This window comes from Homo sapiens, chromosome 1, assembly GCF_000001405.40.
Source record: "Homo sapiens chromosome 1, GRCh38.p14 Primary Assembly".
In the NCBI taxonomy this organism is placed as follows: domain Eukaryota; kingdom Metazoa; phylum Chordata; class Mammalia; order Primates; family Hominidae; genus Homo; species Homo sapiens.
The window spans coordinates 226,998,380-227,010,577 of NC_000001.11; the positions used below are offsets into that span (position 1 = coordinate 226,998,380).

General features: G+C 39.6%; 1 protein-coding gene across 22 annotated transcripts in view; it reads right to left on the bottom strand.

Annotated features, from left to right (window-relative positions):
- CDC42BPA (CDC42 binding protein kinase alpha) overlaps positions 1-12,198 on the bottom strand; it is a 328,635-nt gene that overhangs the window by 8,522 nt on the left and 307,915 nt on the right. For all 22 annotated transcript variants that reach the window (NM_001366011.1, XM_017002580.3, NM_014826.5 and 19 more), the window contains one exon: positions 6,615-6,732. In NM_001366011.1, coding sequence (NP_001352940.1) covers positions 6,615-6,732 — 118 coding nt within the window. The remainder of the gene's footprint in view (positions 1-6,614; positions 6,733-12,198) is intronic.

A 12,198-nucleotide genomic window follows, 5' to 3' on the forward strand; every position in this document is an offset into this window, starting at 1 on the left:
CCTGATTTCAAACTATACTACAAGGCTACAGTAACCAAAACAACAAGGTACTGGTACCAAAACAGAGATATAGACCAATGGAACACAATAGAGGCCTCAGAAGTAATGCCACGTATCTACAACCATCTGATCTTTGACAAACCTGACAAAAACAAGCAACGGGGAAAGGATTCCCTATTTAATAAATGGTGTTGGGAAAACTGGCTAGCCATATGCAGAAAACTGAAATTGGACCCCTTCCTTACACCTTATGCAAAAATTAACTCAAGATGGATTAAAGATTTAAACATAAGATCTAAAACCATAAAAATCCTAGAAGAAAACCTAGGCAATACCATCGAGGACACAGGCATGGGCAAGGACTTCATGACTACAACACCAAAAGCAATGGCAACAAAAGCCAAAATTGGCAAATGGGATCTAATTAAACTAAAGAGCTTCTGCACAGCAAAAGAAACTACCATCAGAGAGAACAGGCAACCTACAGAATGGGAGAAAAGTTTTGCCATCTATCCATCTGACAAAGGGCTAATATCCAGAATCTACAAGGAACTTAAACAAATTTACAAGAAAAAAAACCAACCCCATCAAAAAGTGGGTGAAGAATATGAACAGACACTTCTCAAAAGAAGACATTTATGCGGCCAAGAAACATACAAAAAAAAGCTCATCATCACTGGTCATTAGAGAAATGCAAATCAAAACCACAATGAGATAGCATCTCATGCCAGTTAGAATGGTGATCATTAAAAAATCAGGAAACAACAGATTCTGGAGAGGATGTGGAGAAATAGGAACACTTTTTTTTTTTTTTTGAGACACAGCCTTGTTCTGTTGCCCAGGCTGGAGTGCAGTGGCGTGATCTCAGCTCACTGCAAGCTCTGCCTCCCAGATTCACGCCATTCTCCTGCCTCAGCCTCTCGAGTGGCTGGGACTACAGGCGCCCGCCACCATGCCCAGCTAATTTTTTGAATTTTTAGTAGAGACAGGTTTTCACCATCTTAGCAAGGATGGTCTCGATCTCCTGACCTCGTGATCCACCCACCTCAGCCTCCCAAAGTGCTGGGATTATAGGCCTGAGCCACCGCGCCCAGCCTAGGAATGCTTTTACACTGTTGGTGGGAGTATAAGTTAGTTCAACCATTGTGGAAGACAGTGTGGCGATTCCTCAAGGATCTAGAACCAGAAATACCATTTGACCCAGCAATCCCATTATTGGGTATATACTCAAAGGATTATAAATCATTCTACTATAAAGACACATGCACACGTATGTTTATTGCAGCACTATTCACCATAGCAAAGATTTGGAACCAACCCAAATACCCATCAATGATAGACTGGATAAAGAAAATGTGGCACATATACACCATGGAATACTATGCAACCATAAAAAAGGATGAGTTCATGTCCTTTACAGGGACATGGATGAAGCTGGAAACAATCATTCTCAGCAAACTAACACAGGAACAGAAAACCAAACACCGCATGTTCTCATTCATAAGTGGGAGTTGAACAATGAGAATACCCAGACACAGGGAGGGGAATATCACACACTGGGGCCTGTTGGGGGGTGGGGGGTTAGGGGAGGGATAGCATTAAGAGAAATACCTAATGTAGATGACGGGTTGATGGGTGCAGCAAACTACCATGGCACATGTATACCTATGTAACAAACCTGCATGTTCTACACATGTATCCCAGAACTTAAAGTATAATAATAATAATAATAATAATAATAATAATAATAATAATAAGCTCTCCTGATGATTCCAGAAGGCCCCTCGGACTGAGAATCACTGACAACCTCACTCCTCAGGAGACACGTTTCCCCTAACACTCCATCCCCACCACTGGGTTTCTCCACATGCACTGGTCTTCATTTGTTGACATATTTCTTGGGAAATATACTCTTTACTTTTTTGATGTGGAACGTGTGTCTCCTTAGATTACGAGCTAATTGAACGCCATAAAATATTTTTTGAGTTTTCTTCCAATTCCTTGTCTAGTTTAGTGCTCAGTTCAAAAAATAATGAAAAAATTACTTTAACATTTTGTTATTCTGCACAGAAAGTCAAACTGCCAGAGACTTCCACTGCTCTGCTTACTAATGGTGTGACCTTAAGCAAGTTATTTTACCTTCCTGAGTTTCCATTTTCTTCACCTTTAGGTAAAAAAATAAATTCTACCTTACAGGACTTTGTGGGAACAACTCACCACTCAATGCATGGAGAGTAACATGCAAGACAGAAGGTGTGTGCTGGCCCACACTGTGCTTCTGGTCTTTTCACTGCCTCCCTCCTTCCTAGTGATCATTTATAGAGCAGATAACTGAACTGAATCCCACCCCAGTGATTTCCAGTATGTTTTTTTCACTTTTAAACTTCAGGAATTTTTCTTTTCAAAGAAAGGTTACATTCAAACACTACAACCTTTAAAAAAAAAAAAAAATCAAGGCAGGGCTGTTTTGATTGAACAGCAAAAGGAGCCTGGGGACCCTCTGGCCTGAGACCACATACTGTACTCAGGATACAGCCCCTTCCAGAGAGTTTTAAGTGGTGACTCTGGGGACTGGGCCCTAAATCTCTTGGGGATGAGCAATATCCAACCTCTGCATGACTTCCAGGAGGGTCTGGGAGGCTCCCAGTGAGCCCCTACTGCTGACAGGAGCGGGTCTCATTCCTCAGGTGAACTAGGAAGGAGGGAAGGAAGCATGGTGAGCACCGCTGTTTCAATCTGACTTTGCATCATGAAATCGTTGAGTCTGGCTGTGGAAGATCCTGTGCTTCTTGCTGTAGAGACTGAACATAGTTGGCCTGTTCCTCTCTTGGCTGGCTGTCCTTCTGGAAACATTTTATATGAGCTGGGCTAGTCTTGAAGCCAGCAGGAGGCACTCTAAACACCAGATGCCCCTTGGCATTCCCGAGAGGGTCTTTCCTCTTATATCTTTACTGGACAAGCAGCTGGTAACCAGGGACATAAAAAAGGCCAAACTCAATGAATGCGTTAAGGGCCTTGACAAGAACGCCAGGCCAGCTCCAGTCTGTCGTTTGCATGCCATCAGCAGTGATATGGGAGCCTCACTTCAGCACTTCTAAGGAGATGGGCTGTCTTGGCTCTTTAAATCTTTGCAGTTTAGGGCCTATCTTTATCTGCAATTCCACAAATCCAAAAGTGCTGAAAACCAAAAGTTTTTTCACAAGCTTGATGCAAATTCATGTGATGACAAAACCTAATGTGAACTGGGCTGGGCGCGGTGGGTCACGCCTGTAATCCCAGCACTTTGGGAGGCTGAGGCGGGCAGATTACCTGAGGTCGGGAGTTCAAGAGCAGCCTGGCCAACATGGTGAAACCCCGTCTCTACTAAAAATACAGAAATTGGCTGGGTGTGATGGCACCCACCTGTAGTCCCAGCTACTCGGGAGGCTGAGGCAGGAGAATTGCTTGAACCTGGGAGGCAGAGGTTTCAGTGAGCCAAGATCGTGCCACTGCACTCGAGCTTGGCCAACAGAGTGAGACTCTGTCTCAAAAAAAACAAAAACAAAAAACAAAAAACAAAAACGCAAAACCAAAACAAAAAACAAAACAACAACAAAACCCAAAAAAATCCTGGAGGCCGATTTTAGGCTTTATTTATAAAGACTACATTTATTCCTATATTTACAGTGTAAACAGTCATAACTTTTGCTGTGTAAGTATTAATGTGTTCGTGGGAACTTAATGTGTTTGTTTGTCATGGATCTTGCTGGGAATATAACATAATATATGGTAGATCCCTTTCTAAAACATAAAAACATTCTGGCCTCAAGGGTTTCAGGTAAGGAATTATGGACCATCACTTAATTCCTAAAGTTGTAAAACCTTTGTAACTGACTTCTAGATAACTTATAGTTAGTAACAGCTTACATCAATCATCAAATCTAGCTATCGCTAATAAAAAGATTAATAAAAGTGGTTGTCATTTTCCCACTTGGCAAGATTTTTTCATTGTGGTCAGGGCTACATACTGGGTACAGATGATGTTAGGAGATAATGGCAAGAAAGTTGCAAACTGTACATTTCAACATCTTCTTGTCAATTGAAAGCTCCTTGAAAGCATGCTCTATGTCTGTAGCCAGGCTCCAAGATGATCGTCCCTTCTAGTATTCACTCGTATGTAGTCCCTTCCCACACAGTACCAGGGCTGGTCTGTGTGATCAACAGCATACTGAAGAAGTGGTGATACAGCACTCCTGAGGTTAGGTAGAACACTGCTGCTTCTGTCTCTCTGATCACTTGCCCTGGAGGAAGCCTGCAGCCAGGCCATAAGGACACTCAGGCACTGGGTATGGAGAGGCCCACATTGGCAAAAACGGGAAGCCTCCAACCAACAGTCAGTGAGGAACTCAGACGTGTCCACAACCACATGGGTGAGCCAGGAAACTGATTCCCTAGTCACAGCTGAGTCTTGAGGTGACTGTGGCCCCAGCAGACAGCTCAACTGCAATCTGATGAGAAACCCTGAACCAGAGCCATCCAGTCTATGATGTTCCCAGATTCCTGACCCTGAGGCAGTGTGAGATAATAAATGTTTGCTATTTTAAGCTATGAGATAATAAATGTTTGCTATTTTAAAGCTCCTAATTTGTGGGATAATTTCTTATGCAGCAAGAGATAACTAATACAGCATCATTCATCTTTATGTCGTCAGAATCTAAAAAAAAAATACCTGGGCACAAATTGGGTGCCAAAATCAGTATTTGCTGAATGAAGAGCAAATGAATGGAGGAAACTCAATCTGCATCAGAAGACTTGAATTCAAAATATGTAACATTCGAGAATAGAAGGGAACAAGTAAGTTTTCTGACTCAATGACTTTTAAATGTGAAATTGGATTTAGTGCAGTTACTTTCTCTTAAAGTTCATTTGCATGGAGGTGAAAAAAGGTTTCACTAAGTTGCACCTGGTACACTTGGGGACTGCACTTACGCTGGCACACTCGATCGACACTCTCTCTGATCTCCAAGCAAGTACCATGCTCCCGGGAAAGCACACACTTGAGAAAGTTACAGAAAAGCAACCTTCAGCCAAGAACATTCTTCCCCAAGTGAAGCTACAATGATCACTTGATAATCTACAATCGCACTGCTTATAATCCAGGAAATATCTTAGATCGCAGTGAATTTGACGGGAGTAAAATTTACTTTTTTAAATCAGCCAGATGTCCCATCTGTACATTTCTCTCATTTTGAGGTAAGTAGCCTTTAGCATCTTTGTATAATTTTATTCAGGCAGACAATATCTTTTTACACACCTTTCCTCCCCCACCAAAAAGCTGCTCCGCGACAGTAGCTGAACCTAAGTGCACCATGGAGCACAGTTTTTTCTCTCTATGGTCCCTTAGCTCAAGGTTCTAGTTTTAAAGTGTAAAAAAAGAGATGCTGCAGTTCCGAGTACAGTTAAAAACAAAAAACAAACAAACAAAAAAAACGGAGAGAGAGACTAATAAAGACTGTGAGACACCTGAAAGCAGGTACTAGGTCATGTATGTATTTTTACCCCCAGCACCTCAGCAGAAGAGTTGGTATCTAATGGAACCTCAAACATGTGTACTGCATGAATGTTATCTTTATTGTAGTAAAGGGTATATTCTTGAATCCATTCCTGGCCTTCTTTCAGTGAATCAAACAGATACATTTTTTTTTTTTTTTTGCTACCTCGGGACCTTTGGACATGCGTGGAATGTCCTGCCTCAGCCCCTTCTTAAACGGTGGTAAATGGGAGTAAATGGTATCATACTAAGGCCCTAGCAGGAAGTCTGGGAGTCATCTTTAACTCTCTCCCTTACTTTTCCATGACTAATTCATCATCAAGTCTTACTGCTTTTAACTCTGAAAATATATCTGGAGAATCTACCATCTTCTCTCCTTCTGCCCCTGCTGCATCCCAAGCCCTCATTGGTTTCCATTGGGACCACTCTAGGAGTCTCCTATCTGGATGCTGGCTTCCACTCTTCCTGCCTCTAGTCCATTCTCCACTTGGCAGCCCGCAGGATTGTTTTAAGAATGTAAATTGAAAGAAAATTCTTCCCTACTTAAAAGTCTTCCTTTTCCTTTTGAATAAAGTAAAAAATGTCTTACCTTGGTCTTCAAGTCCCTGCTGGTCTGACCCTTACCTGCTACCCCGCTCTAATTTTTGTTACTTCCTCACCACTACCATGTAGCCATACTAGCCTTCTTTCAGTTAACCAAACATTACTCAAACATGACTCCACCTCTAGGGAGTGATTTTCCTAATTATTCTGCCAAGTAGGGATTCATCCCTAACAGCTACCCCTTGTTATTCTCTATTAATGTATGCTGTTTACTTCCTTCAGAGCCTTTATCATCACAATTTGTAATCATATTTGTCTGTCTCCCAGATGGCCTGTACACTCTAGAAGGACTCTGGGACTATTTTCTTAACAACTGCATTTGTGCCTATTAGGCATTACCCAGCAGGGTCTGAGACACTGCAGCCACTTGAGAATGCAATGGGCACACGTAAGTGAAGGACATGTCACCCACGGGACAGGAGGGGAGGGAGCTGGGGGTCACCCTGTCTCAGAGGCACCTTCCTGTAGCCCCGGCACTTACTTGCTGACAAGCCACTGCTAGCACTCATGGAGCGGCCTGGCTCAGGGCGGGATTTGGTGATAGATGGAATACTGACTGAGCCACTGAATACTGTCCGACTTTCCTGAGGCCGAGGGTTCTATAAACAAAAGCGAGAGAGACATCCTTTAGCCAGAAAGAAACTGATTTTTCTGCAGAGATGTCTATTTTTCACTATAATTACCAAGAAATAAAATCATCTTGACCAGAATGACACAGAGTAAGGAATGGCAGATTATATAGTCTTTCCCACCCACAAAAGTAATAAAACCCTAACATGAAGTAAATCTCATCCTAATCAGGAATAAGTACTTATACTTACTGAAATACTTATCAGTAAAAAACAGCATTTTTTTGTTTGTAAACACAGTAAGTAAAAGCTATATGGTTAGATGTGACAGTGAATTGTAGAATTACATGGACATTTGCCGATAACTGAAAGCTTTTACTATGTATGACATTTTTATTTGCTTAACAGCTGATACGTCCATTTGGAGAAAATTCTACTAAAATTATATTCTTCTCAAGAAAATGTTTTATTGATGTGATACCAAATGTGCCATTTATAAGTTCACACCCCAGTCACCAGGCATCTTTACTGACTCACACCAATAGTAGTACTGGGATTAGAAATAAGACGCTGCAATACTCACAACCTAGGTGAAGTTAGTTAATTTGGGAATATTAGTTTGAAAACTAATTTCTGATGTAAATGGTCTGGATTTGATTTCAAAGAGTTTATAAACAGGTTTATATACATTTACTTGGAAGATTTACCTACTCCTTATTGATATTTCCATTTAATTATTGAATGATTTTAGTGTGTGAGGTAGGAAAATAGGCCACAGAATGTTTTGCAAATCACACACGCCTAAAGGATAGCCACATAGGTGGTGTGCAGGGTGAGCTGTCTGATTACGGTTGAGAACAGAAAGCATGCTGCCTCCCCAAAGGCCCCAATCTTTTTCAGACCAGGAGGATGAGATGTTGGGGCTGACACAAGTCCAGAGGAGGGAAAAATATTTTAATATTCTTTATAAATCCTGGAGAAGACAAATTACATATACCATGTTATTAACATCTTTTAACACTCATAAGGCTTTTCTCCATTTCTTCACATAATCCCAGCCTCATGTAAGCATCTTCTGATGCAAATGGTCTGGATTTGATTTCTTACAATTTATAAACAGATTTATATGTATTTACTTAGAAGATTTATCTACTCCTTATTGATTTTTCTTTCATAGCTACAAAAATGATGGTAATCTTACTAGCCTATTGTCAGCCAGCCTCTCCTTCATTGGCTGTTTGTGAGGGTGTGCCATAAAGGCAGCATGGTGGCTGTGAGCACAGGCTATGGAGGGATTTGGCCCACTACTCACATCTGTGCTGCACAGCTGACTGACAGCAGGGCTTGGGGTTGCTAAACTCTGTGCCCCAGTTCCCTCAGCTGTATTATGAGGATAAGAACTGCCTCCTGGGGCTTGTCTGAGGATGAAGCTAATTACACTAGCAAAAAGCAAGCATGTAGCCCAGTCCCACTATGTGCCTTTCTTTCCTCATGAGTATGAGTAACAACCTCATACAGCCATCTGCAGTATCACTTTCAAACCTCCTTTTAGTCACATCGAAACAGCCATTCTGGCCAGGCACGGTGGCTCAGGCCTGTAATCCCAGCACTTTGGGAGACTGAGGTGGGCAGATCACGAGGTCAGGAATTCGAGACCAGCCTGGCTAATATGGTGAAACCCCGTCTCTACTATAAATACAAAAAAATTAGCTGGGTTTGGTGGCACATGCCTGTAGTCCCAGCTACTCGGGAGTCTGAGGCAGGAGAATCACTTGAATCTGGGAGGTGGAGGTTGCTGGAGGAGCCAAGATCACGCCACTGCACTCCGGCCTGGGCGTGCACTCACTCTGCAGAGTGAGACTCCGTCTCAACAACAACAACAACAACAACAACAACAACAACAACAACAACCCCCCAGCAATTCTGCTTGGTGGTGGGGGGATCACAAATTTTACATGTGTTAAACAATACCTTAACTCTATAATGGAAATGCAATGAAAAAAAATCACACATTAAAAGCAGTAAAAAATTCAAGTTTTGTGACTTTTCCAAAGGATCAATTTGTTAAGTAAAGCCAAATAGTTTAATTCCAAGTTAAACTATAACATGCAACTTTCCTTTGAAAACAGATGTTCTCTTCATAGAATGCTATAGGCTACCATTACTATAGGGTAATCCTTTATCTTTTCTACATCATCAGAAAATCACACAGATAGTAATAGCCACTAAGACATAACAAGATGTGACTGGAAGATATATTTATTAACCTGGTGTTCTCTCAGTGCTAACTAGTTCATTAAAATTGTTTGCTTTTTTTCTGATTATAAAGGTAATACTCATGAACTGTAGAATATATAATGAAATTATAAGAGACCAAAAAAGTCACCTGTGAATTCACCAGATACTAATAACAATTTGATGTGTTTCCTATCTTTTCTTCCAACATAATTTAAGAGTTGATGATACTGTATCATGCTATTTTCAAATGCAACAGAACACCAAGCTAACTAGTGTATTTTTAAAAAAATGTTACAACTGTCTGCCTAATTTTGCTGTTTCAAAAACACAATCTTTTCTCATCATTTCGGGCTCAGAAAATATTACTCTTTCTTCTAGTAGCTTAACATAGAGAATACAATAGGGAAATTTATCCACATACCTGCCATACATTGATAAACTTTGTGGTATGACTTATGTTTATTCATGACTTATGCTATTTAACGTTAATAGAAATCTATCTTACCTAAATGGTTTTACAAGTTTCAGCAAGAGAAAAGGCCTAAATGCTTAAACTACATTTTACATATTTTACTAAACGTCCTCATACTTGCCCTTTAAACATAGAAACCCAGGGGAACACTGTTGGTAGGCACACCCTCCTCCACACTCACCACCTCAGGGTCCTCAGCTTTTGGGCTGACAGTTCAGTTTGTCCTGGTTATAAGCAGGCATATGGTTCCCTAGCCTCAGTTCTTTAGTCATCTTATAATTTCTTATACTGACTGTTATTACAACAACACTAAACTCTCCAGCACCTAAAATAGTTAGGTGCTGAAAGATATTTGCTGAATAAATAAATGGAAAATGAATAGATTATATCTGCAATCCTAATTTTCTAATTTGAGTATTGAGATTAATTCAGTTGGCAATGTAATTTCAAAATATGATCCTTTCTGTAAAACAGTGTTTAGTTAATATTGATTTGAAGTTACAGGCCTGTGTGTGTTTTAAAGATACAAAATAACATTTTATGCAAACACTTAAAAGATGACTATCTTCTTTGCTATAATATGGTATAGATTAAATAATTTAACACAGAATACAATGAAATCAGCACAAATACTTAAGGCTTTTGAGGTTAAAAGAAACAAGCAATAAAGAAATGTACTAATGTGGCTAAAAAATATTTTTAAGTTATAATAAAAGTCTAGAACTGGAAACTGAGTTCCCAGTTGCCATGCAATTGTGAAACTCACTCCAAGGAGAGGTTAGAGCTCAGAGAAAGTTTGCAGCACTGAGCTTTCCTACATGCACCTGAAATGCCTGAGAAAAGGTTATGGCAAAACAACTAAAAAAGGGCCAAAGCCAGCACTCAGGAAAACATGCATTAATACCACTTGAAAAGCTCCAAAGCATACATTTTGAAGAATCGCACATACTGAAAGTTGGCAACTAGTTGGCCCCAAATTTAACTGCTGCCATCTACATGCCATCTACATCAATTTGGTTCATCTACCAAATTTGCAAAGTCCATGTAATTCTTGGTGCGTTATTTAAAGCAAATGCTTTTTTTTTCTCTAAGAAAATAAAAAAATTAAAATGGAAATAGTCAATGCTAGCAATTCAACAGACACATATACAAGAGCAACCCTGTAAGACGCAAGCAGCATGTGAACAATGCAGCAAAGAAAAGCTCAAAGGAGATGGGAATATCCGTTTCAGGCTATACATTTTTTTATTGTTTTTCTGTAAACCTTAAGATACATTGATGTTGTCCTTTCCTATAAAACAAACCTATCCTAGAATAAATAGCAAAAATTAAGGCTACAAACTGTATCTGAAACTTAGTAACAACTTAGTAGCTTTATTACTTAGGCTGAAGTAATAAAGGAATGACAAAAAAAAGTTTTGTTAAAAAACAGTTTATCATTCAGTCCGCTAGAGTTAAATAAACTTCATTATAAAGTGACAAGTAACCTAAGCCTCTGGTCCTTTCAAGGTACAAATATGTATAAGATTAGGGTGAGACTTTCATTTGATGGCACAGTATTTCTAGTTATAGATGACTAACTAAAGCAACATTTCCATGGTCTTTTATATGAAAAGTTATTATTATTATTATTTTGAGACATAGCCTTTCTCTATCACCTAAGCTGGAGTGCAGTGGTGCAATCACGGCTCTCTGCAACTTCGACCTCCCAGGCGCAAGTGATCTTCTCCCCTCAGCCTCCCAAGTAGCTGGGACCACAGGCATGTGCCACCACATCCAACTAATTTTTTTATTTTTATTTTTTGTAGAAATGGGGTCTCGCTATGGTTGCCCAGGCTTGTCTCAAACTCCTAGGCTCAAGTGGTCCTCCTGCCTCAGCCTCCCAAAGTGCTGGGATTACATGTATGAGCCATCATGCCCAGTGAAAAGTTCCTGATTAACATATACAAAATTCCTCTGGAATCCACTCCCTGCAGTCTAAGCAAACTCAGGCTTATTTTATCGTGGTTAATTTAATTTTGTCAGATAAGATATTTAAGTGATATAATAATTTAAATGTCAGTAACATTTAAAACATTATAATTTAGAATAATTTTATAATACAAACAACAAAAAATAAACTTCCCATCCTACAGCTAATTTTCTAATTGGAAAATTTCTACATATATAAATACAAAAATTGATCTACTATTGTTGTAAGTTAGGGGACATTATGGGAAGTGGTTTGCATGATACAATATAAACATTTTATTACCTGCAAAACTAACTTCAGAAAATGTTCCCTTGAAGTTACTGTAAGCATACACCACTTGATGGACATATGAATATTCAGCTTTAATGGCCACCAGCTCTCCACCCTACTGCAAAGCCACTGGTAGCAAAAATACAAGCTGAATGGAAGAGACCAACAGCAGCTGCCACAATCCTTCAGAATACAGCATGCTTTTTAAATTTTCCTCTTTCTTTGCTTTAGTTTTCTTACCTTGGATCCTGGTTGGAATTACATGCATTTCAGTAACTCAAAGATTAGTAAAATCTAACTTATTTTTGGAATTTTTGTTACTCATTAATATTAATTTTTTAACTTTTCACTTTGGAGATTTTTAAGCTTTTCAAAAAGGGGTTTATTGTAGATAGGTCTGTGGATGGGTTCTACCACAGACTTTAACCTCACTAAATATAAAACATTTCACTGAATTGAACTGGTTATAGGGTAAGGAGCTAAAAAATTCAGAAATTCTGGGAGCCCTTTCCTGTTTGTTTTAACAGAATAGAGAGCTATTTCT